General features: G+C 35.0%; 1 protein-coding gene and 1 long non-coding RNA gene across 7 annotated transcripts in view; one reads left to right on the plus strand and one right to left on the minus strand.

The window, feature by feature from the left end:
* The window catches only part of FUT9 (fucosyltransferase 9), a 199,639-nt gene extending 187,108 nt beyond the window's left edge, over positions 1-12,531 (plus strand). For all 6 annotated transcript variants that reach the window (XM_047418089.1, XM_047418088.1, XM_017010190.2 and 3 more), the window contains one exon: positions 67-12,531. In XM_047418089.1, coding sequence (XP_047274045.1) covers positions 75-1,154 — 1,080 coding nt within the window. In that variant the 5' untranslated portion in view covers positions 67-74 and the 3' untranslated portion in view covers positions 1,155-12,531. The remainder of the gene's footprint in view (positions 1-66) is intronic.
* UFL1-AS1 (UFL1 antisense RNA 1) overlaps positions 1-26,970 on the minus strand; it is a 321,372-nt gene that overhangs the window by 2,739 nt on the left and 291,663 nt on the right. The window lies entirely within an intron of this gene.

Genomic DNA, 26,970 nt, shown 5'->3' on the forward strand with positions numbered 1-26,970 from the left:
AATATATTTATGATTTTCTCTTCATTCCCACCGCTACCTCCCCTTCTGTCTTTCTCTATTTCGTAGGAAAAATTATGACATCAACATCCAAAGGAATTCTTCGCCCATTTTTAATTGTCTGCATTATCCTGGGCTGTTTCATGGCATGTCTTCTCATTTACATCAAACCTACCAACAGCTGGATCTTCAGTCCAATGGAATCAGCCAGCTCTGTGCTGAAAATGAAAAACTTCTTTTCCACCAAAACTGATTATTTTAATGAAACTACTATTCTGGTGTGGGTGTGGCCATTTGGGCAGACCTTTGACCTTACATCCTGCCAAGCAATGTTCAACATCCAAGGATGCCATCTCACAACGGACCGTTCACTGTACAACAAATCCCATGCAGTTCTGATCCATCACCGAGACATCAGTTGGGATCTGACAAATTTACCTCAGCAAGCTAGGCCACCCTTCCAGAAATGGATTTGGATGAATTTGGAATCACCAACTCACACTCCCCAAAAGAGTGGCATTGAGCACTTGTTTAACCTGACTCTGACTTACCGCCGTGATTCAGATATCCAAGTGCCTTATGGCTTCTTGACGGTAAGCACAAATCCCTTCGTGTTTGAAGTGCCAAGCAAAGAGAAATTGGTGTGCTGGGTTGTGAGTAACTGGAACCCTGAGCATGCCAGAGTCAAGTATTACAATGAGCTAAGCAAAAGCATTGAAATCCATACCTACGGGCAAGCATTTGGAGAATATGTCAATGATAAAAATTTGATTCCTACCATATCTACTTGTAAATTTTATCTTTCCTTTGAAAATTCAATCCACAAGGATTACATCACGGAAAAGCTATACAATGCTTTTCTGGCTGGCTCTGTACCTGTTGTTCTGGGACCATCTAGGGAAAACTATGAGAATTATATTCCAGCAGATTCATTCATTCATGTGGAAGATTATAACTCTCCCAGTGAGCTAGCAAAGTATCTGAAGGAAGTCGACAAAAACAATAAGTTATACCTTAGTTACTTTAACTGGAGGAAGGATTTCACTGTAAATCTTCCACGATTTTGGGAATCACATGCATGTTTGGCTTGCGATCATGTGAAAAGGCATCAAGAATATAAGTCTGTTGGTAATTTAGAGAAATGGTTTTGGAATTAAAATTTTTCATCACTTGCACACTTGATAAATATTTTGATGAGATATCATCCAAGTATTGAGGATAAGAAGAGATGCAACATACTACTTTTGTGTCACAATTTATTTTTATCACCCTCTCTAGGGTAACGTGTATATTTTGGTGGAGATTTTTAAAAGCTCAGCATGAGCAATCATTCCATTCGGTTTTAAATTATCCTGTATATACCTAATTATGTGCACTGGAGAGTAATTTATTCTTCATTATCATTTGTAAACATTGTTTTTTCACATTTTTGTAGTTGTCCATAATGTAAGCTTGTGGTTTGATTATTGTTTCCACACTGATCAGCTGTTTAATCTATTTGGGAAATGAAGATGCACATCTTAAAGTATGAAAAATTTTCACTAAGTATTACAATGTCTAGTTCCAACTTTGCATACTATAACAGAGGAAGAACATGTTGCGATTGAATTCTAACCTCTTTGACTCCGAAGATGAATGAAGTGTATAACTGTCTCTATTTGATCTATTTTTTTTACCTGTTTATCACATTTGTGAAGGTGAAATTATTCATGGAGTGAATAAGAAAGATATGAAGCAGAACTGTTCTATTCGGGAAGCTATTAGACTTCTCATTTATTTTCATTAAGCTGATTTGCAGCTACTTATTCTCATGGTCTTAAATTAAATTATTCAAGTATTTTTAAATATCCAATTTGTTGTGATTTTCAGCACCTGGGAAGTAATCCCAATAATACTTTAGAAAATCTAAGACAGTTCTTTCTGCTACTGATGACACTCATTGTCATAATAAAACAAATAATTTCCTCAAATAACAAAGAAAAATGATACCTATAAATATATTTATAAATGGTGTCATTTATGAACAATGTTTAATTATGTATCAATTTAAGATTTTTTTCTGAAGCCCTAATATTTAAAATGGTCTTATTTTACCATATGGATATAAGATTTGGCTCATAATGATGAGCCCTATCATTTGATTTGAGTTCTATCATTTAAGAGAGCCTAAATAAAATTATCATCAAGGTATTAAATATAAGACGTTAAATATAATAAAGTGGGGATATATAGAAAACACACAGTGTTAGCACACAGTAAGATCTCAATGCACATTTGTTGGATGAATAAATAAATGCAATTGAATTCCCAGAAAAATGATTGTTTCAAGGAAGTGACAGTTCTACTTTAGAAGTACTAATTGGAGATGACTTTTATATCCCATTTTGGTAATTATTCATACATAGCACATATGACCATGATGTTCAGGGCTTTATAGAACCAAATAAACCTACCATTACATGAAAATTTTGAAGAGTATATTCCTGAACTTGCAGCTGCCTATAGCATTCTCCTCCATAAGGCTAGAGGAGAGCTGGATATAAGCAGAGATCGTAGGTGAAAAAAGATGGGCCATTAAGGATTCTTCAAGGAAAACATTCCTCAAAATGATCTTTAGTGCCTTTATTCCTTTCAGGCCAATAATCCACCCAAAAATTAGAATGTTCTGAGACATCCATTTGGGTCTATTTGTGACTTATTCGTATTACAAATTGACATCAGCAAAATTCAAAAAGAATTCAGTAAAAAGGGCATAGATCCAGCTATCCAGACTATCTTGTGAGAGAATAAGCTCACCCCAGCACCAGAAAGATTTGAGCAGAGGAATATTCCTGTAATGAATAGAGGATTGTTTGATTCTCAGGTATATTTCTTAAGCCAAGATTGAATGCAGTGTCAGGCACTGCCTTAACACCCACAGAGATAAGATGAACAAGGTACTATCACTGCCTAAAATGAGCTTACAATTAAGTGGATAGACATATAAAAGCTTCCTTTCAATTCAGCCTGAGACTGTTTATATGCATGTGCTACTCCGAATGACGTTTGTATGGGTCAATGCTGATTTAATGGGGAAAAAAAGTAGAAAATTTCCCCAATTGCTTAGCTGTTTGACATGTTTCTGAGCTGCAAACTTTGTCAACTCTTTTGACCCAACATATTATTCTCTCCGTATTATCTCTTCTAACCACAATGCATTAAGAAATAATATTTTTATGTGGATGTCCTCCTCAATAAGTAAAGATCTCCATCCATATTTAATTAATTGGTAAGACAGTCAAATTCATACATTTACATTTACTTTGTCAAATTTTTTGGTCTATAAAAAGCATAGAGATCTAAAGAGGATACACTGCTAACAAGTTTAGAAAGCACCTGCTTTTTTTTATTATTATTATTTTTGTGATAGAGTCTTGCTCTGTCGCCCAGGCCGGAGTGCAGTGGTGCAGTCTCGGCTCACTGCAACCTCGGCCTCCCAGGTTCAAGTGATTCTCCTGTATCAGCCTCCCGAGTAGCTAGGATTACAGGCGTGTACCACTATGCCTGGCTAGTTTTTGTATTTTTAGTAGAGATGGGTTTCACTGTGTTGGCCAGGCTGGTCTTGAACTCCTGACCTCAAATGATCCACTTGCCTCAGCCTCCCAAAGTGCTGGGATTACAGGTATGAGCCACTGTGTCTGGCCCACCTGTTTTTTTTGAAGGCAGAAAAACATTCAATATTAAAAGCATTCAATATTATTTCAACCTGCCTTGGCTCTAGTGAATGTTCATGATTTGAAAGAACTGAAAGACCTAAAGGCAGTGTCTCTATTGTTGACTACAAATGTAGGCTCTTTGTTGGACTATGACTATAATCACACACTGATAATATGACGCAAGTAGAGGCAGTACTACTAAGTATCTAGCAGGTGCTTTGAAACCCCATTACTAAGTCCCAGAAGACTGTTTCCTAAATTTGAAGTGGAAGAATTAAATGACTCAATGGAACCCTTTAGCTGTGGGTCCATTGATGTGTGAGTTTTAGAGCTGGAAGGAATTATAATTTTGTTGTTTATAATTGCTATAATATAGAAATTATAATTGCTTTTCTTTCTACTTATGAGTTAACTAGATCCAGAGATATTTATTCAAGACACACATTCACACACACATACACACACACACACACACACCCCACAGCTAGTGACAATAGTTAAGATTTGGATTTAAGGATCCTATCTTTCTTTATCCCACTTTCTTTTCAATCGCATTCATAACTTATTATAGAATTATGTCTCAATTTTTACAAATGTGAATGTCTTATTGGTATTTTTAGGGCCTATAGAATGGTACACCTCATGTAGAAGAACTTCGACTTTTGAAGGTATACAATAAATAAAACATCAAACTTGTTAGCATTCGTTCTGGTTTAAATATTTTAGGAGTTGAGTTCAGCAGAAGGAAATGGGCTATCACTACATTTAAGTGAAATACAACCCTCAAGAAAGTGTATGGTTCACAGCCACTCCTTTAATAAATCCTGTGGGTTGCAATTCTTTGTAAGAAACTCATGAAAAAGATATATTGATTCAACAAAATTGGTTTGCTGTTGATTATACAAACCAATAATTATGCCTAGAATTAAATTGTGGACACAAAAAAGGGAACAGACCATTTAAAATGTTTTATTTCAAAATATCGAAAAGCTATTACCTTCAATACTCTAAATATTTAAATATTAATTATTGTAGACATCAGTAAGAATAAATAAATGTTAATCATTATAGACCTTACTAATAAGAATATATACTGAATTGTCCACATCCAGAGTATTACACCCTGAACAAGAAAGACATGAGAGCCTGACAGTCATATATATTATGACAGCTGTATATCTGACAATATGAAGTAGAAACTGAAAAAAAAAATCATCTTAGTGGGAAACAAATACATGCTTAAAATTGTTATATTTACTGTAAAACTCCTGATAATCTTAGATTGTGCAGAAATGTTTCTTATTTTGAGGGGCTTAGAAAGCTCAGCGCATTTGATGTATAAAGCAACAGAATATTTAGGAATTATTTGCGGAGGCTTTAAATTCTTACCTCCAATTGGAGGTTAAATATTAAAAGAATAGGAAACTATGCCTCTGATATTTTTTTTGTCAGCCTATTTTTAAACTAGATTCCATGAGTCTTAAGGTAATATCCTAGAATTTTTTTTTTGCGTGAATTAAAGTTACCACAAATTTCAGGTCCTTACCTTATGACTGTGTTTGATCATATCTTTGAGTTCCCTTGAACTCTGATCTCATTTTGAGAAACATTTTGAGAAACTTCTTAACAATTACAATCGAGCTGTTAAATATAACAAACATCAGAATCTAAAGGATAAGCACAGTGCCTAATGTACAGGAGGGTCATATCAAATACTTGTTGAATAAATACATGAATGTGATAAGTGGTCCTGTAAAATATTTTTTAAGAGTAGTGACAATGTTTATTGGTACCAATTGGAGATGATATTTTATATTTATTTTGTTAGTTTGTCACCTGGATGCAAAAGGAAGGCATTTTAATTCCTTTCTATCTTACAACATTGTAAAGCATCAAAAGAAGTAACATCTCAAGAAAGATTAGAAAGGATTTGGATCACGTTAACATTCTATGCAAATATTAGTAACATATCAACTGTTTCTAAAAGGAAAGAAAATTAGTATTTAAGGAGAGTATAAAGTGCGAGCACTGTGAAGGGCAGATATCTATTACCAAACCACATGGAGAGAAATATAGTCTCTCTCCTAACTTCATTCCATTGTATTGCAATCAGTCAATTAAGGTGATTTTTTTTTTCTGGATGTCTCAATCTAGAGATTTTGTAGCATTTTGCAAATGGGTATGCTTCACTACTATCCACAGTGTTCTCCCCTTTAGTAATTCATATTGAATATATCCATATTCATATGCATTTTATAAAACAGTTAACAGAATCTAAATAAGATATAGCCGGCTAAATCTGGAATGTGAGTGCTACCCTAGGTTATTAGTTCAACAAACTAATTTTGAGAGAGCCACTTAACCTCTCTGGACCTTGTTTGTAAGCTTTCTTCTAGCACTATTACTCTTATCTAAGATCGAAATTGATATATGCATGAAATTCCTAATGGAATTTCAATGTCCATCTCAAAGTAATTTTTTAGGATATTCCATACAGATTTCCTTCTCATTTCTCTGTGTAGATATTTAAAGTATGAAATTGATTATTTAAACTAATATGTGGAAAGAACCTAATCCAGAGCTTGGAATATAGAAAGTGCTCAATTAACTGACATTCCTCCTGTATTTCCTCCCTCCCCTTAGTTGTCTATGACTTTTGAACTCACTGCTCACTGACATCTTAATTGCCTGCAGAAAAATCAATCATATTTTAGGCATTATTTTGAAATATTTTAGAGTTTTCTGTACTATTCAAACTCTTATTACAAAAATCTAAAGATATTTATTGATGCAAAAAATTTAGGGAGTCATTGGAAATACCTGAGGCAATCCCAGGCTAACAATAAAATAGCATAATTTTAAGTAAGCTAGATTGAGTTCATTTGAACATTTAGTTATTTTTTAGCTCATAGTTAACATATGTCCATGCATTTGATTTACTTTAAAAATATTTTATTTAAAAATAACCTCTCAAACACCAGTTGCTTTCTGTCAGTTTTACTCAAAGCATGCTTCCTAGGTCACCTGACCTAGAATCACCAGAAGTGTTAACAATACCGATTTCTGGGCTTTGAGCCATGAAATTAGAATTTCTTCAAATAATCCATGCCCCCCCGTCACCCAAAAAAAGAGCATGCTTTTAATACATTTCCAAAATTATCCTGTTTCTGCTATAACTGGTGAACCATCCTGTCCTAAACTAGCAGTTCTCAAACATGCATATGCCTTTGAAACTTCCTAGATCATCTACATAAAAATCATTTGAAATATTGTTAATAATACACAGCTTCTGAATCTCTGGGTGTGAGATGGGACCAGGAATCTTATTTTAAAAATCTCCCCAGATGGTTCTGGTGTCCTGCTAGTTTTGAGGTTTTCATCCCACCTGTTTAGATGGGTAGTATTCTATTAAATATGAGGTATTACCTTTCTTTAGTTCACCTGGAATCTTCTTAAATATATCGGTAAAGTATTCTACTTCAAAATCCAAGACATTTTGTATACCTAATTATTTCACACAAGAGCGTGGAACTCACCAGTCTTGTGACTTGGGGCAGGTTATTTATAGTCTCCAGACACTTTTTCCAGTTGCGAGTTGCTTATAGTAGTTCGCGAACCTGAATGCACATTAGAACCATCTGGAGAGGCTTTAAAATTGCAGATGTCCAAACCCCACCTCCAGAGAGCTGATCTATTTAGTTTGAGGAAGAGCCCAGAAGTCTAACAGGTGTAAATGTTCCACAGGTAATACTAATGCAGGCATACCTCAGGAAATCACCAGTTCTCGTCTTGGAGGAACTATTAGGAAAATAAAAGATTATATATCTTGAAAAAAATCTCTAATTTGCTTTCTAGGTTCTAACTGCATGTTTATATTTTGCAACAGGAAAGACTGGTCTAGACAATTACTAGGATATATGCTTCTGTGATCTGCTTTTCTATTGTATGTGTTTAAGAGACCACATTCTTGGGTTCCAAAGTCTCCTTGTCTGATAGGTAATTTGCAATTGAGATATGGCAAAGAATTGTAGCATCCAAATTTTTGACAACTACAGATTTAGAATTGAATCCAAGGTCTGCCATTCACTAGCTATGTGCAAGTTACTCAACTTCTCTTATCCTCAGATTTTGCAGCTGTAAAGCAGAGGTAGCATATTTCTGAGAAATTATATTCAGGTGACTAGATATGTGTTCAAGTGTTATCTTTTATTCTTATAAAAGATAATTGTGAGGAATCCAGTGCTATTTTCACAATTTTAATTCTAAAACTCTGAAGACATTAAACAGGCAGTTTGTAGGAATCATTGAAATTTTATACAAGCCGAAGGAACAACATTCAGCAAAACGGAAACAAATAAATACAGCATGGAAGCATATATTCATGTTTCCCATAATTACTAAGTTACGGAAGGGGTGTGAGGAGCTGGCAGTGGTGGTGAATAGGCATTGTTTGCATTACTAAATATATATACCATTTCTTAAGATAATTGGAACTCAAGCAGTCCTAATTTTCTCTCCCTGTTATGAGCAATCAGTAAATTTGTAGTCAATTTAACTTATTATCAGTTGGTATAGCGCATGTCACAGAATAGGATAGCAAGAAGATTCTCAGAGATCATTTTCTGGTAAAGAAAAAGGCCTAGCAATATTTAACAGTTTGACTTAATCCATCACTTCAGCTGGTCCACTAGTTTTGACACAGGACTAGTTAATGATTTGTTAGGAAGTCTCCATCTACTCTTAAACTAATTTAAAAAAAAGCTAAAAGTTGCTTTTAATATGTTAGGGTATAACTTCAATAAACAGGAGTATTTATCTAGTGGTTCAGAAATAAAATAATTGTTAGCCAGCCTGTGATTAAGGCTACCATAATTGCATAATAAATAGCTTTGACGTGAATAATCTCAGTTGTTCAAGTGTACAAATTTAAAGCTGTACTATGTTAGAATAAAAAAGTAGGCTCAAGGAAAATTTCTATTTTTCTATATGAAAAAGAGAATGATATTCAAAATAGTATTTTTAAGTAGTTTCTAATTGTGTTCCTTTAAAGAGTATTAGAAATGTCTGTTATGTCAGTAACATTAGAAAACTTCAAAAACTGATTTATTTTTCTGAGTTCTCTGGAAACCAAACAATTTTGAATTAGTTGTGTAAGTAAAGTAAGTTAAGTTATAGCTTGCTGGAATTTTATTGTGGAAAACAAATATAGATTTTATCTGAAAAATTTTAAGGGCCAATTCTACAGAAAGTTATGCTAACATGCTAACTTTCCACACATGGCTGCATTCCATTTTGATTAATGAGGGTTCAGGAAATAGAAAGGCAGTCTCTGCAGAAGCAGTATCCAAAGGCTAAATTAACAACCCAGGACTACCACTCATTATGTGAGAAATATGGGCCAGAGTTACAATATCACATCTCCAGTCTCAGATTGGCCTCATTAGCCACCTTCAGTTCCTTAAATGAGATAATCCTGAAGATGCCATCCTTGTCCAAGGTGAGATTGCCAGAGGATATGAGCTCATCTAGGATGGAATACATGTCTCCAGGGACTGTAATGAGATCAGGCTTTTCATTTACTGGTTTTCTGCCTCAAGAGTCCTTAAGCAAATGAAGATTATCTGATTGTCTATGTAAACCTGGAAGTAGTCTACTTTTTAGATAAAAGATAATCTATCTTGAATATTTCATATGTGATTTTAAAATAATTAATCAAAAAACAAAGACTATCATATTTGAGAACAAGATTTTACTTAGAAGGGAAAAAAAAGAACTTTCAGCTTAATCGGGGTTAAGGGAGTAATTGTGACAATATAAAATGGCATTGTTATAGAATCCCTAAAAGGTAAATAATGTATGAGATGAAGGTAGGAAGTAATGTGTGCTTGCAGAAATGCAACTGGTCAAAATTACTTGAATGAAATTGTTGAGGTTAAACATCTTCATTATAATAATATGTCTTATTCTGATTCCAAGACAATACGAATGTAGAGAAGAGATTTTTAAATGGAAAAAGTAAGGAGCTAACAAGTCTGTACCTAGATTCAAGTTCACAAAGCGGCAAAAAGGAGAAAAGTGTCAACAAGAAACAAGAAGAGGAGTAGTAAACTAAGGATCAAAGCCCAAGTTCCAGTTTTCACAATCTGCTGTATAATTCACTAACATTTCTGAGCCATAGATTTTTAATCTGTAAAAGGAGTGTGATGGACTGTACATTAGAAGTACCTGAGAAGCTCTTAATAAATCTTGATGAATTGGTTAGAAATTCTAATTTAATTAGCCTGGCACAGTGCACAAACTGCCATATATTCGTGCAGATGTTTTCTTCTTTTCTTACTGCGCATTTCCATGTGGCCATGTCACTACAAGGGGTGGGGAAGAAGTTAATGTGTAATTGCTTCAGGAGCTCTGAATAAAAGGTTGCTGAAGCAAAATACTGCAATGAAGTTCTGAAAATGAAGAGTTAGGACTTTACATGATTTCTCTTGCCTCATTCCCTCAAGAATGCACATATAGACACACATATGCCAATATCTTTTTTATGTAGTTCAAGTATAACTTTGAATAAAATGACTTACATTCAAGGAAGGTCAAAACTATTATTCTGAAACAAAATGTGACAATTCTAGCCATTATGTGAATTGTAAGGGTCAGTAATCCATAAATTATTTGGATGGTAATTGTATGTTTTATTAATGTGATGTAATTTTGCACTATTGTATTGTCATATTTAATCAAACTCTTAAAAATACCCTGAAACATAATGCCAAATGTACAGTTTATAGGTTCGTGTTATTTCTGATAAGAATTTAATTGCATTGTGCTAATAGTTGTTTATTGCTATTAACTTTCTGTGTATGTATTATTGCGATGCAGACCCAATAGGGTTATTTTAAGCACACTAATTAGTCATCTGGATTTTTATAGATAAAATCACATGTTGATCAGAAATCATTTTTCTACTTATTTTTTTGTAGAGTATTTTTCCACACTTGAAAAAAACATGATTATTTTATATCAAACATCAACTTTTCTTTAAATCTTATTTTAGTAGCTAATGCATGTTTGAAATAAGATGTGTTAGAAATTATATGACTATATTAAGGTTGTGTTTATATTAGGTGAAAAATTGCATGCAATTGGTGAATCATGCAGCTTTGGGGACATTTACACTGCCACTCACACACAGGCTCTGTCTCAATCCGTATGCATGATTCACGTCCTTTCAAAAGTCCCTTTTCAACATTTGGTAAAGTGAAAATGTTATTCATAGTGCTAATGAGCCAATAAACAATGCTGCGTTTCTTTTTTCTAACTGCAGCATATTGTGGTAAATTTTCTCCCAAAACTTTATTTTTGGAGTTATTGTTGGCAATAAATACAACAAATTATTTGTTGGCAAGTGATACAATTTACTGTATAACAACTTAATAGTACAAAGCATGAAGATGTGAAAATATCATCTTAACCAGTTTCATTCTATGAACATAATATTCTGGCAGCTTTTTCTATAACTGAGAATGGTATATCTTTTTATACACTGCCTAAATCAGTACTACTGCCAGTCACCTGAGGTCAGGTCTGCACAACACTAAATTGGGCAATAACATAGAACATCTAGGCAGTCTTGACAGTCAACCAGTGTAATCACTAGGGGAAGAAAAAGTAGGCCTACCCTTTTACTTATTAACTTAAGTAATAAAAATTGTATAAAAATATGAATGTTGGCTGCAGAGGAGCCTTTACATGCAGATAATTTGAAGCAGTCTTTGAAAATAACAAAAATTATTCCATTTAATGAAGGGTTTGTTTTGTTTAGCTTTTCTCTTTTATTCAGAAAACATACCTGTGCTTTTGAAAGGGCTTAATCCCAAACAGGTAATATGTGTGGATCAATCATCTCTCCTCCCATGAAATTAATCATTCATGGTAATATATTAAGGCTGGAACGTAGCTCTTAGTGACTTAAAACATGACAGTAAGCATTTACACTGTTGGAAGGTAATTTCATTGCTATGTTATTAAAATGATGGGAATCCTATTTATACATTTATTTATTTATTTATTTACAGAAGATTGGTTCCTTCCAGTTCAATTTAACAGCTTCAGTGAAGTTAGTATAATGATAAGAAAAATTGACTGTAGCTATTATTCCAAGTGAAAATCATGCAGCTGAGTCCTGCTGCATCCTGGGAGCAAAGCATTAATTCAAATGAGGAGTAGTCAGTCCTAGCACTGTAGACGCCGACTTTACCAACCAAGATAGTGTATGTGTGTGACATTCAGCTAACATTGATCTAGGCACTTAGTTTGCTACCACATTGTTCCCTTCATTGATTGAAACTGTAAATAACATAACACTTTAAGGCAGCTAAGCAAATATTTTAATAAGCCATGAAAGGCAAGATGCCAGAGAAAATCTGTATATTCAGCTATTTGGAGAACTCGTGTTTTCCACAAATTAAACTGGAGATGTCATTTGAAATTTTCTTCCCTTAAACATGCTGTCACAACATGGATTCCTTCTCATGGATGTCTTTCTAGGCTTATAAATATATGGTGTGATTGCTATAATTTTGTGAAATTTTATTCAGCAATTAATAGTGATTTCAGCAATATGTACTAAGATTCCAAGGCAGAAATAAATGTATAAAGGATTTGAGCCTGTATGTGTAAGAAGAAACTCTCTCTTCAGTCATATTTCCTAAATTCAGTGTAAGTACCTCGCTGATTTAGCACTGGAGTTATTCCTTGAATGTGTAAATAATGATGTTCTATTCTGACCTAATGAATTCCTGTAATGTGAATATTTAAAATAAAAGAATTCAATTTAAATGTATACTAGCTAGTGCTGGTTATTTATAATTCTTACATTCAAAATTATTCACTTGAGAAGATTCATTTTTACTTCGATGCAAATCTGCATTCTATATATATTGAATTAAAATGTTAAAACTACATAAATATATTTTCCAGATTATACACTCATTACAAATATTGCATCAAAAGGGACAGTCAGTGTTCATACATAAAAAGTTCTACACTACTTTGTTTCCTTACTCTTGCATTGCTTTAATGGATTCAGGGCTGCAATTAGGCCTGTTAATGATTTGGGCTTGTATGCATGGGGAATAGAAGAATCTATTCAACCTTCTCTATTCTGCCTTGATCTTGGCTTTGGAAATGTCTCACCTTGCATTCTGAATTATCTGCTATTTTACATACTCTTTTGGTTGTTTATATTCAGGCCTATAGAATCAACAATTACCAATATGCTAAGATCTCAAGTGTTTATATCCAATTTCCTACTGTCACCTAACTTCCTGCAGGTCCATTGACAGGGATAGCCCACTGTAAGGGAATGGAAACACCTAATTCTCTCTAAACTTTAATTCACTTAAGGGCACTATTATAAGTTATGTTGCCTAAGTCAAAAACTTAGAATTATCCTTAATTCTTCTTTTTCCTTTTCCCCACATTAAATTGACTATGAAATTTCTCTTAAATATGTCACTTTTCTTCTGATCCACTGCACGGCTTCATTTAGTCAATAGAGCCTTCAATATTTCTTACCTGGAGTAAAGGAATAACTTCTTAAAGTCTCAAAAATCTACACTCAACATTGCCACAACTGGATAAAAAAAAACACAGAGGAAAGGTGATACAGAGAGAACTCAGCTTAGAGTGTTGATTAACCAGTAGTTTTTCCCCAAAGTCACATAGTTATTAGGATTTTTCATTGGTTCCTCATATTTCTTAGGATGAATTCTTTATCTGGGAGCAGATCATATACTGTCCTTTAACATTTGACTTCTATTACATTTTCTAAGCTCTTTTTTGCTCCCTTTTATTACCCTATAACGTTTCCTCATCTTTGATACCTCTCATACCACCCAGAGCTCAGAAAGCTTTTCTACCCAGTGAATTCTCAGCATCCTTAAGATTACAGTCCAGGGTCATATTCATTATGATGCAAAATACATTTCAGATGTAAAATATATTTCAGATGTGTTCAAAGGCCAAGAGGCAAGTAAGGTTATTAGCAATATCCTGGAAGAAATGAGTTGTGAGACAGTCCTTGAAAGACTAATTTAGTTAAACAAGCAGAACATGTGGATAGACCTTCCAATGAAACAAGAACAAGGTCTTGCGAAGAGCATACATTGAATAAATATGGCTCATTTTAGTTGTATGTTCATGAAGAAGAATAGTGTTAGATAAGGCATTAGTGATTTAAAAATGAAAAGGTCAGAATGTAGGGAGCTTGACATTCAAACTGATAAATGTAAACTAGGTTGGTTGATTTGAATTGAGTTAGTTTGATTTGATTCATACTGCTGCATGATTTAAAGTCACCGAATAATTATGGGCAGATGTATGGGTGTGTGCAAAGCCACGAAATGTATCTTTTTAAAACTCTAAATCATTACAAAATGTAAACTAGCATCATAACATCTTATCCACCCTCATGGCCTGTTCCAAGGTGTTTCAGTGGACAATGTCTCCCTTTGGCTGAGAGAAACCATGTGATATCGTGTCTCTAAGTGTTTGGGTTCTGAGGCTGGACTGCTCACATTCTACAGCTCTTCCACTTCCAGTGGTGTGGCCTTGGGGAAGTTATTTCACCCTTCTTCACCTTAATTTTCTTGTATGAAAAGAAGGAATAATGACACTTTCTCCTAAATTGTAAAGATAAGTGAGTTAATGCACATACATTATTTAGAACATTATCTGACACCACAAGCACTCAATATCTCAGCTATTATTTTAAAAGGAACACAAACATTTTTATAATACATCTTTTCTTCAGTTCCCCCAGTCACTATTAAATCATTGTCTTTTAACATATTTTTGTTGTTGTTGTTAAAAACATAGATCTTCAGGCCTAGCATGGTGGCATGTACCTGCGGTACTAACTACTCAGAAGGCTTAGGCAGGAGGATCGCTTGAGTCCAGGAGTTCGAGGTTGCACTAAGCTGTGATTATTGTGCCACTGCACTCCAGCCTTAGTGATAGAGTGAGACCCAGTCACTCTGTCACTTTGTTTGTCAAAAGAAAACAAAACAAAACATAGATCTTCATGTTACTGCTCTATTCTGTCTATTCTAGATAGAAGATGGTTTTCTTTTTTTTTTTTTTAAAGACGGAGTCTTGCCCTGTTGCCCAGGCTGGAGTGTAGTGGTGTGATCTCGGCTCACTACAAGCTCTGCTTTCCGGGTTCACGCCATTCTCCTGCCTCAGCCTCCCGAGTAGCTGGGACTATAGGCACCCACCAAGACGCCCGGCTAATTTTTTGTATTTTTAGTAGAAACGGGGTTTCACCGTGTTAGGCAGGATGGTCTCGATCTCCTGACCTCGTGATCCACCCACCTCGGCCTCACAAAGTGCTGGGATTACAGGCGTGAGCCACCACGCCTGGCCAGAAGGTGGTTTTCCTCACAGAGAAGAGTCCTAGAACATGACTGGATGCTTCCTACAAACAGGAGGAATATAAATTTTTGATAGTCTACGCTCAGTAGTTAGGTACTCTGAAAAAAAAATTCCGCACAGAACAGATTCTGATTTGGGAATTACATCTGAAGTAAGCTGGCAATAGTAATAACTCAGAATTTCTCATACTGTAAGTGGTCCGACAACCTTTTTTGAGCATAGAACTGGCTTGAGAGAAACTGAAACTCCTTTCCAAATGGATGATGGAGTTTTGCCCTCCTTGTCTTTTGTTTTCACTCTGTCTTATACTGTAAAAAGGATTTTTTAAAAATTGGAATACCTTTATCAACAGATAGGTTGCCATAATTCGGGAGGAAAATATGCCCAATTACCAAAAACCAGCAAGGACACAAATACCTAGAATATACAATCTGGTAAAAGAGACCAAATAGATTATACTTTAAGGTCCAGTGTCCATTTGGGATTGCCAGGTTCTGTCAAAATGTTAAATATTATGCCCAAAAGCTAGAGGCAGACCTAAAACTCAGGATTTTATTTATTCAAAGCCAAATTATGTCAAGCCAAAATTCTAATTTTAGAGTATATGAGTTTAGAATTACAAGAAAATATTTGTATGGCCATTTAGCCATTTATTAAATTTGTCAACACATGGTATTTAGTTTAGTAAATGACCATGTTTGCAAATGATCACTCAGACTGAACACTGCATCAAATGGTGTCCCTTAAGTCTATGTTCCAAATTATGCTAGTGCCAACGTTTTTGATCTTACTTATTTCTCCTTGCCCTCAACCTAACCATCTCCAGGCTCAAATGCCTTTACAACATGGCATAGTTGAGCATAGTGAAACAGGACAAACTAGAACTTGTGACCTAGAATTACTTTTGCTAAGTGAAGCAGGGCAGGTACTAGAAAGGTAGACCCAAGTTGTAGGTGTTAAAAGAAAGTTTATTCTAGAAAGTTAAGTATTAATGTGATTTCACAAGTTAGGGAAACAGGCAACAAATGATATTCCAAGGACAGACAAGTGATTCTACAGACAAGGTAGAATAAGGTAGAAAAGAGAAACAAATGCATATATATATGTGAAATGCAGTAGCAAAAAAAGGGTAGCAGAACATGGCATAGAAGGTAGGAGGAGATGTCAGGAAGAAGAGAAGGAGGGGAGAGGGAGTGGCTGGGATCCCATTCATCTGAGAGAAGGCTCACCAAGTACAGATGTGGATGCTACAGACATATACGTTTTATATTCTGTGCTAAGTACACTTTGGGATGTCTATTTTTAAAAGATCACCTCAGGCCAGGTGCGGTGGCTCACGCCTATAGTCCCAGCACTTTGGGAGGCTGAGTCGGGTGTATCATTTGAGGTCAGGAGTTCAAGACCAGCCTGGCCAACATGGTGAGACCCCATCTCTACTAAAAATAGAAAAATTAGCTGGGCGTGGTGGAAGGTGCCTGTAATCCCAGCTACTTGGGAGGCTGAGGTAGGAGAATCCTTTGAACCCAGGAGCTGGAGCTTGCAGTGAGCCGAGATTGTGCCACTGCACTCCATCCTGGGCAACAGAGTGAGACTCTGTCTCAAAATATGTAAAGAAATAAACAAAATTAAAAAAAAAAGATAGCCTGACTAAGCAAGAAAAAAAATTAAGAAGATAACTGTTTTCCTTACTTTATGAGTAGGAAAAAGTACTCTTTTGATCCTTACTAGGATCAAAATAGCAATGATCATTTTAGTGTAGAAATGAACTGTAACCATAAAATCAAACTATATCTCTTCTGTGTGCATGTCTGTGTGTATGTGTGAATGTGTGTATGTGTCAGTTTAGAACTAAAATGACACAAGATAGTGCTAGTTTCTTAATTCAGTCTTTAAGAATTGCATTTCCACATTTTTAATGTTTTAACTTCCCATTTTATGAGAACTTAAGAATTGTAAAAAAATTAAAAATTTTTGCAGGGTTCTGCTATAACCCTCATCCAAGTTTCCTTAACTATTAACATCTTGTCAAATGTTAACATAGTATAGAGATCAAAAACAACACTTTCGTACAATATCATTAACTAATCTATAGACATAACCTGAATTTTACCAATTGCCCCACAAATGGCCTTTATCGGGATCAGGATCTAATCCAAGTTCACACATTGAATTTAGTTGTCATGTCTCCTTAATTTCTTCCATTCTGAGACACTTCCACAGTCCTTTGTCTTTTATGACTGATACTTTAGAAGAGTACTAGCAAGTTATTTTGTAGAATATTACATTTTTTCTTTTTTTTAATTGTACTTTAAGTTCTGGGATACATGTGCAGAACGTGCAGGTTTGTTACATAGGTATACTTGTGCCATGGTGGTTTGCTGCACTCATCAACCCATCATCTAGGTTTTAAAGCCCTGCATGGATTAGGTATTTCTCCTAATGCTATCCCTCGCCTTGCCCTCCACCCCCCAACAGGCCCCAGTGTGTGATGTTCCCCTCCCTGTGTCCATGTGTTCTCATTGTTCAACTCCCACTTATGAGTGAGAACATGCGGTGTTTGGTTTTCTGTGCATGTGTTAGTTTGCTGGGAATGATGATTTCAAGTTTCATCCATGTCCCTGCAAAGGACATGAACTCATTCTTTTTTGTAGGTGCATAGTATTCCATGGTGTATATGTGCCACATTTTCTTTACCCAGTCTATCATTGATGGGCATTTGGGTTTGTTCCAAGTCTTTGCTATTGTTAATACTGCTGCAATAAACATACATGTGCATATGTCTTTAGAGTAGAATAATTTATAATCCTTTGGGTATATACCCAGTAATGACATTGCTGGGTTAAATGGTATTTCTGGTTCTAGATCCTTGAGGAATCGCCATATTGTCTTCCACAATGGTTGAACTAATTTACACTGCCACCAACAGTGTAAAAGCGCTCCTATTTAGCTTCTGCACAGCAAAAGAAACTATCATCAGAGTGAACAGGCAACTTACAGCATGGGAGAAAAATTTTGCAATCTATCCATCTGACAAAGGGCTAATATCCAGAATCTACAAGGAACTTTAACAAATTTAAAAGAAAAAAAAAACAAACAACCCCATCAAAAAGTGGGTGAAGGATATGAACAGACACCAAAAGAAGACATTTATGCAGCTAACAAACATATGAAAAAAAGCTCATCATCACTGGTCATTAGAGAAATGCAAATCAAAACCACAATGAGATACTATCTCACACCAGTTAGAATGGCCATCTTTAAAAAGTCAGGAAACCACAGACGCTGAAGAGGATCCACATTTCAATTGTAAGGAATTTTACAACTTTACAGCTTGTAAAGTAGTCATTCAAATCGACTTATTTATTTATTTATTTATTATAGGTGAGGTCTTGCTATTTTGCCCAGGCGGACCTTAAAATCTGGGCTCAAGGGATCTTCCAATCTCAGCCTAATGAATAGCTGGGACTACAGGAGTATAGGACCATGCCTGGTCTCATTTAAGTCTACTTTCTAAAATGGTCAATCAGCAAATGTTATATCTTCAATCAGATCTAGAAATAAAAATGTTAACGTACTTCCCACCAGGTGTCTTAGAAAAACCGTAGAATCATTGTTTAGAGTTCCCAATGAATTAAGACACAATAAGATAATTTTCAACAAGTCTGAAACCTAAAATTCTCCAATATTGGCACCCTAGACCCTCAATAGTTACTTAATAACAGGAAATATGCAAATGAAAATCTTTATTCTACCTAAAAGTAGGAGAATACATTGATTTTATGATACAACATTTATTTCACCTGAATTATTCAGAAAACTTTATACAGCTTTTTGCAATTAATCACCTATGGATTCATGCTTGGATTATTTAATAAGAGATGCTTTATTTATAGTCACTTAATTTGATGGCAAAATATTTCCAGTTTTGCTGGAAATGTGATTTCATGTGAGTTTTCTAACTCACAAAATTCACCTCAGAATCTTCTTATTTAATTTGTATCAATCAGTCAAAATTTTCTAATTATGTCCTTATGAGCCAAATCATTAATTTATTTATAAAATTTTAAAGTAAAATAAAAAATTCACGATTTCATTAAAATAGTTAAGCAAGCACATTAATAATCTCTGTTGACACTATCTTTAGTTTTGTTACTAAAGTTATTTTCTTATTTCCAACTTTTATACATGATACATAAGTGTGTCATGTTTCTATCTACACCTCTAAATAAAGGATTTTTAAAACTTTTAATTTCTGTGGGTCCGTAGTAAGTGTATGTATTTACGGAATACATGAGATATTTTGATAGAGGCATGCAATGTGTAATAATCACATCAAGGTAAATAGGGTATTCATCACCTCAAGTATTTATCTTTTGTGTTACAAACAATCCAATTGTGTAATCTTTTTTTTTTTTTTTTTTTTTTGAGGCGGAGTCTCGCTCTGTCACCCAGGCTGGAGTGCAGTGGCGCGATCTCAGCTCACTGCAAGCTCCGCCTCCCGGGTTCACGCCATTCTCCTGCCTCAGCCTCCAGAGTAGCTGGGACTACAGGCGCCCGCCACGATGCCCGGCTAATTTTTTTGCATTTTTAGTAGAGACGGTGTTTCACCGTGTTAGCCAGGATGGTCTCGATCTCCTGACTTCGTGATCCGCCCGCCTCGGCCTCCCAAAGTGCTGGGATTACAGGCGTGAGCCACCGCACCCAGCCAATTGTGTAATCTTTTAGTTATTTTTAATTGTACAATTAAATTATTTTTACTATAGTCACTCTGTTGTGCTAGCAAATACTAATTCTTATTCTTTCTGTATTTTGTACCCATTAACCATCCCCACTTGCCCTCCCCAGACCCCTCCACTCTTCCTAGCCTCTGGTAACCATCCATGAGTTCAATTATTTTAATTTTTAGCTCCCACAAATAAGTGAGAATATGCAAAGTTTGTCTTCTGTGCCTGGCTTATTTCATTTAACATAATGGTCTCCAATTCCACCCATGTTTTTGCAAATAACAAGATCTCCTTCTGTCTTATGGTTGAATAGTACTTCATTGTGTATATGTACCCCATTTTCTTTATCCATTCATCTGTTGATGAATGCTTAGGTTGCTTCCAAATCTTGGCTATTGTGGGCCTGGCATAGTGGCTCATGCCTATAATCCCAGCACTTTGAGAGGCCAAGGCAGATGGACTACTTGAGCTCAGAAACTTGAGGCCAGCCTGGGCAACATGACAAACCCCGTCTCTACCAAAGAAAATAATAATAATAATAATAATAAAATAAATAAATAAATAATAAAATAAAAAAAATTAGCCAGGCATAGTGGTGAATGCCTGTAGTCCCAGCTACTCCAGAGGCTGAGGTGAGTGGATCAATTTCAGAGGTCGAGGCTGCAGTGGGATGTGATCATGCCACAGCACTCCAACCTGGGTGACAGAATGTGACCCTGTCTAAAAAAATAATAGATAAAGAAAAAACAAACAAATCTTGGCTATTGTGAATAGTGCTCTAATAAACATGGGGGTGTAGATATCTCTCCAGTATACTGATTTCCTTTCTTTTGGGTGTATACCTAGCAAAGGGAATCACAGAGTAGCTCTATTTTCAGTTTTTTGAGGAACCTCCAAAGTGTTCCCCATAGTGGTTGTACTAATTTACATTCCCACCAACAGTGCATGAGGGTTTCCTTCTCTCCATATCCTCATCAGCATTTGTTATTGCTGCTCTGTAGGAGTTACAACTCCTACAGAGTTGTTTGAATTTCTAATATATTCTGGTTTTTAATCCGTTGTCAGATGGGTGGTTTGCAAATATTTTCCCCCATTCTGTGGATTGTCTCTTCACTTTGTTTCATTCACTGTGAAGAAACTTTTAACTTAATGTGATTCTATTTGTCCATTTTTGCGTTGGTTGCCTGTGCTTGTGGGGTAAAGATAAGTTTTTTTAAACTAAAACCATTTGTTTAATCCAGTTATAAGAAATCTCAAGTTTATATTGATTTATTGATCTCTACTTTTGAAATTTGAGAAGAATGTGAGGTTTTACCAAGTTCTTCTGTTGCAATAAAATTTGTGATTGAGGTATTTCTGAAAAAAATGCTAATAAGATAAACCAAGATGAGCTAAAATAAGCCAAAAGGGGGCTTAATGGAAGTATTCTTAAGTGGCTTAGAGAACTCAAGGTGCCAGGCCTTCTGAGAGTCCTGGACTTGGAATAGGGAAGCCTGCAGGAATCTCCACAGTGCTCTACGGTTGTGGGTATGACTTAATGTGAACAAGTGTGGATTTCTGCACATCTGTTTTAACGTGTGGGTTGGTGTGTGTGTGTGTGTGTGCACATGCACGTGCTCATGTGTAATTGTGTGTATCTGTGTTTTGTGTGGGTGAGGGGTGTTAACTTCTTTACTTTTTCTCATCTTCATGCCTTATTCTTCTCTCTGGACATAGAATTGTTATGTTTCTCAGTGTACATAGGGGTAGATGAAAACTCAGCTCCGCAATTCTGAGTTTACAACTTGCTTCCAGTCACATATGGGCATTAACTGTTTCCTGCTTAGGTTAGTTATCTTTCCCCCAGGTAAGTACTCAGAGACAGGAAGTAATTTATCTGGGCCGACTTCTTTCTATTGGCTACTGCATCAAAATCTCTGTAACAGTCCTGCCAAAGTTTGTATACCACAGTGATACCAATAGTTCTTTCTCCAAAATAAATAAATAAATCCTGGTCATACATAAATGATTATAATAGTAAATATAGACTGAGGGTTTTCAGAGGGCAAGGTTGTATTCTAAGTACAAGTATTATTTCATTTAATCCTCATAACACTACAGTTCCAGCATTACCTCTTTTTTTCCCAACCAAAAAGTTGGGAAATTCACCCAACTTTACACAGCTACAAAGTGTGAGAGCTGGAATGTGAGAGCAGGTCATCTGGCTCCAGGACCTCAATGCTCAACCACTTAACTCTACTGTTTGGAAACACTGGATTAAATGAGGTTGAACCAATATCTCATTAATTAATTAATTTTTGCTGTAGGATTTCTTACAACCTTTAATATGTTATAGTAAATTATGACTTTACAAGAGCAGGATATACCATAAAGTTTCCAAAACCTATATAATCATTTTTTCAATCATTTTTATTTTTATGGACTACTGTAAGGCACTAGTAGATGATTCCTTCTGAAATATGGCTATAATTTGCTTTTATTTCTGAATTAATAAAATAATACATAAAAAACAATTGTGTCACAAGGAAAACGGAACAAAAATTAAGTATATTTATTTTCAGGTTTAATTTTAATTAGTTATAGAATTCTCATAGATTCTAAAATTAATGAATATGTCAACACTGGCAGACAAAATCAAATTTTGTGCAAACAACCCAACTCCTAAAATTATTCAAAAAAATCAAGAGTAAAGAAAGAAAGCAGCTCATTTTTCAGACAAATAACTGGAAGCAAAATGTTAACTAGTCCATCTATGGGACATAATGCTTCAAGAATTTGTAGTTCACAGCAATAGTAACTTAGGAAGGGTATAATTCAGTTAAATTCTTGGATGATAAATTTATAACGAATCCACAATGGAATCTAAGAAGCAATTCCTTTCTAGAAGAAGTTTAGGAAAGACAATAAGTTTCTCCTCTCACAAAACAACAATTAACTCATGTAACAAATGTTTACTTAGTCCGTACTGGACGCAAGGAACTCTCCTGTATTTTTAGAAGACAATACATGAATACAATGAATTATTTTGTCCTCACATCTCTCATGATATATCTTTATATATATATAACTCACACACTCGGGAGAAACCGCATTCAAAGGACAGAGAAATGCACATGAGATGATGAGGAAAGGCTTTAGAAAGTACATGGCACTTAAACTGGACAGGATGGACAGGGCAGGTATTAGGACAAGAAATAAGTGAATTGTAAGGAAAGGGAACACAATGACATGTAGAAAAGGTAAAATACAGGTCCAGGCACAGTGGCTCACACCTGTAATCTCAGCCCTTTGGAAAGCTAATGCGGGCGGATCACGAAGTCAAGAGATCGAGACCATCCTGTCCAGTATGGTGAAACCCCGTCTCTACTAAAAATACAAAAATTAGCTGGGTGTGGTGGTGCGCACCTGTAGTCCCAGCTACTTGGGAGTCTGAGGCAGGAGAATCGCTTGAACGCTGGAGGCAGAGGATGCAGTGAGCTGAGATTGTGCCACTGCATTCCAGCCTGGTGACAGAGCGGGACTCTCTCAAAAAAAAAGAAAGAAAGAAAGAGAAAGAAAAGAAAGGAAGGAAGGAAAGAAGGGTAAAATACAGAGAAGAAAAAGAAATAATTCAGTTTAATTATAGCTTTTTGTCTGTAAAATAATTTTTTGTCTGAGAAATAAGCAGGGAGATAGACAGTGGAAACGAGTGTATTCCCTAGGGCAGAAAGTACCAAGTAGACAGTGCAGTATCATGGTTATGAGCATGGACTGCAAAGCCTGGAAAATGCCTTCCTGCTTCCAGTAGCAATGGTTCTCACTAGGAGTAATTTTGCTCCCCATGGGATATTTGGCAAATTCTGGAGACATTTTTAGTTGTCATAACTGTTTAATGTACTACTTAATATTTAATATTGTGGTAATTTAGAAGATTCAAAGTAATACTACATTTAACATTTAAGACAGTGACATGATAGCTGCAACACACTGCTTACTGACATTTAAAGGAAAAAATATCATGACTTTCATTTCTGAAATCAACGGACTAAATGTTTCAGAAAAACTTTTCTGTTGAACATTACGACACTGAATGAACTGTAACGATCATCTTCTGAAAACAAATAGCTCGATGAGAAAGAATTAAAAGGCCGACGCACTGGGAAGAATGTGAATCCAGTGATTTTAACATGACAATTGGGAATATTTTGCTCTGGGATATTATCTAATCATAATTGCTCACCACTAAAAGCTGAGCTGCTTTTTATTTCAGGGATTTTTAACATCATCGCAAGTCTTGGGTGGCAAAAGTCAGCATTCAGGACCAATAAACAATGTAATCCTGCTACACTTCACTGTCTGGTTTGAGGTCGGGTCCAAAGAGCCACACAGCAGTATGAGGAGGAAAGAAGGAACTGCTCTTGTACAGACTGCAGTCAGATCATCTGAGTAGAACAGGAAACCTCATGCTCAAAGCACAGTTTCAAGTTATGTGGTCTAATAGTGACCTCAGGTACCCAGTAGAAGCAATAAAAATCTTCTTTAAAGGATGATAAGTCATCCTGAGCTCCTGATTATTTTCTATAAATTATCTTCTTGAGACATTGTCTATTATGCAAAAATAAATAGGTAAATGAGGAAACTAATTATGGTAGAAAAGCAGGTAAAATCACTTCTGAAAAGTCAACAGAAATAGATTCAAAAGATCCCTGAGTTGAGGACACAGAGTTGGTAGTCTGGAGAGGCAAAGGCAGCCAGTCATATTTGCAAAGCACAGTAACAAATAGCAGGAGAGACAGAGACAGAGCTGGAGACAGAGAGAGAGAAAGAGAAAAAGAGAGGGAGAGAGAGAGAGATACTGAGATCTGAAGGTCTGCAGAGGGTTCCCATATTCAGCTCACTAATCAGTTGATGCTTTTTAAAACATGTATGTGGGGAAATTACCTGAGGCCAGGGAAAGAGCAACCTCAAAGGATTCATGGGTACAATCCATGGGAATAATACAAAGCTGGGACTAGTTTGTGTTCCTACCAGTGAGTAAAGAAAAACCTTGAAATTAACAGGACTTTCAGTAAAGGATTCAAAATATATTGCCTCGGTAGGAGGAAATATTAGCCCTTGAGTACAGGCTGCTCTGATTCTGCCTGACAAAGCTTAAAAGCAATTCTTAACAGAACAAAACCATTTCCAAGTACTTTGACTGTGTCCAAACCAAAGTTCAAAAATATTTACAGACTTAAAATGTATATAATATTCAACAAGATAAAATATTTAATGTCTGGCATCAAGTCAAAAATTAAATTCAAATTAAGTAGGAGAAAGTAAATAATAAAAATGAGGACAGACACTAAAGAAAGAGAAAATGGAAAATGTATAGAGAAAATCAATGAAACCAAAAACTGATTCTTAGAAATGATTAATAAAATTGATCGATTTTTGGCTAGACTGGCCATGGAAAAAAGAAAGAAGACATAAATTACCAACACCAGAAGTGAGAGAAGTTATAGGACTATATATTCTAGAGGTATTAAAACGCTAATGAGGGAATATTATGGACAACTCTAACCCAATAAATTTGACAACTGAGATGAAATGGAAAAAATTTTCAAAGACACAAACTACCAAGGCTCATTCAAAATAAAAAAATTATCTGAATAACCCAATATCCGTTTTCAAATTTTAAGTTTGTAGTTTAAAATCTTCCCACAAAGACATTTCCAGGCCTGATGAATTACTGGCAAACTAAACAAACATTTTCAGAAATTCAAGAGGGTATGTTTATTGTCTTTAGTGCAATGATGGCTTCACAAGTGTATACATATATCAAATCTTATGAAATTATATACTGTAAATATACGTCAGTTATACCTCAATAATCTGTTTAAAAAGGTTTTAAAAAGTATGTTTCCAGTAAATAAGCAATGGACAATTCCCACAGGAATATGTCCAACATTTATTAAGAAAATGCAAATAAAATAATATTGAAAAATTATTTTATACCTCTCACCAAATTTTAAAAGATCAAATAAATGCTCAGAAAATTGTGATAAGAATGGTATATTTAGATACTGCTGGTGGAATAAGCTTTTTTACCCATATGGAAAGTAATATGAAAATATATGTTCAGTAGTTTCTTGGAAATTGCAACTTTAATCAGAATGACATATAACAAAAACATTTGTTTTGTCATCTACATTATAAAAAAAATGCATTGAATGAAACAACTCTATTCCAGGACATGCTACATGTCCTTTTGCTTAAAGCAGTAGTATTCAAGAACCTATCAACAAAGTGAGGACTTACTATATTGTAGTAATGTGTGAGATATATGGGTGCATGTGTGTGTGTATGTATCAGCTGTCATAAATAATTTGATACTTATGTTTCCAATAAACTTGCTTTTATCATATTGTAAGAAAATGATTTTAACTGGATCAAGATGTTTACTTCATTATATAGAATATTTAAAAAATTGAAACATTTCAAATACTAAAGAGTAGAAGAGGCTTTATAAATCATGTTGCTGATACATTGTGAGACTCTTTGTAAGTCAAAAAAAAGAGTAAATGATCAAACAAGTGAAAACACAGATGTCGATATTATGCATATGTCATAACTACAACTAGTTTTAAGTTTATGTTTTTGAATGAGTGAGACAACAAAGTCTGGATGTAATACTTCAAAATAAAAATAGTTTTGTTATGGTGGGGACAATATTGATGACTTTTTTAAAAAATTGATGTTGTTACATTAGTTTTAATTTAAAAAAGGCACTTCACTTGATCTAAATGTTTCTTACAATGTAAATTCTCTTTCAAGTTACTAATTCTTAAAATAGTTTTCTATTAGTGATAACTAATTTGTACTAATTTGTCTATATTCTTCTTTTTCCTCCTAATTTTATCAGAGAACTGAAGTACGGACCACAGTCATGGAATAGTGTGAAGCCCTAAAGTAGTTCATAACCTCATTAACATGACATTTATAGCTGAGCTAAGCGATCATGAATACGAATGCAACAGAGAGACTGAGTGAGGACATTTCTACTGTGATGGTTGTATTCTGTATTGTGCACTAAAACTAATAAGGCTTATGATAAAACTAACAAAAGCAATAACAATACCAAAAAAAGATTTGCACAAATATCC

This window comes from Homo sapiens, chromosome 6 (genome assembly GCF_000001405.40).
Source record: "Homo sapiens chromosome 6, GRCh38.p14 Primary Assembly".
Classification (NCBI taxonomy): domain Eukaryota; kingdom Metazoa; phylum Chordata; class Mammalia; order Primates; family Hominidae; genus Homo; species Homo sapiens.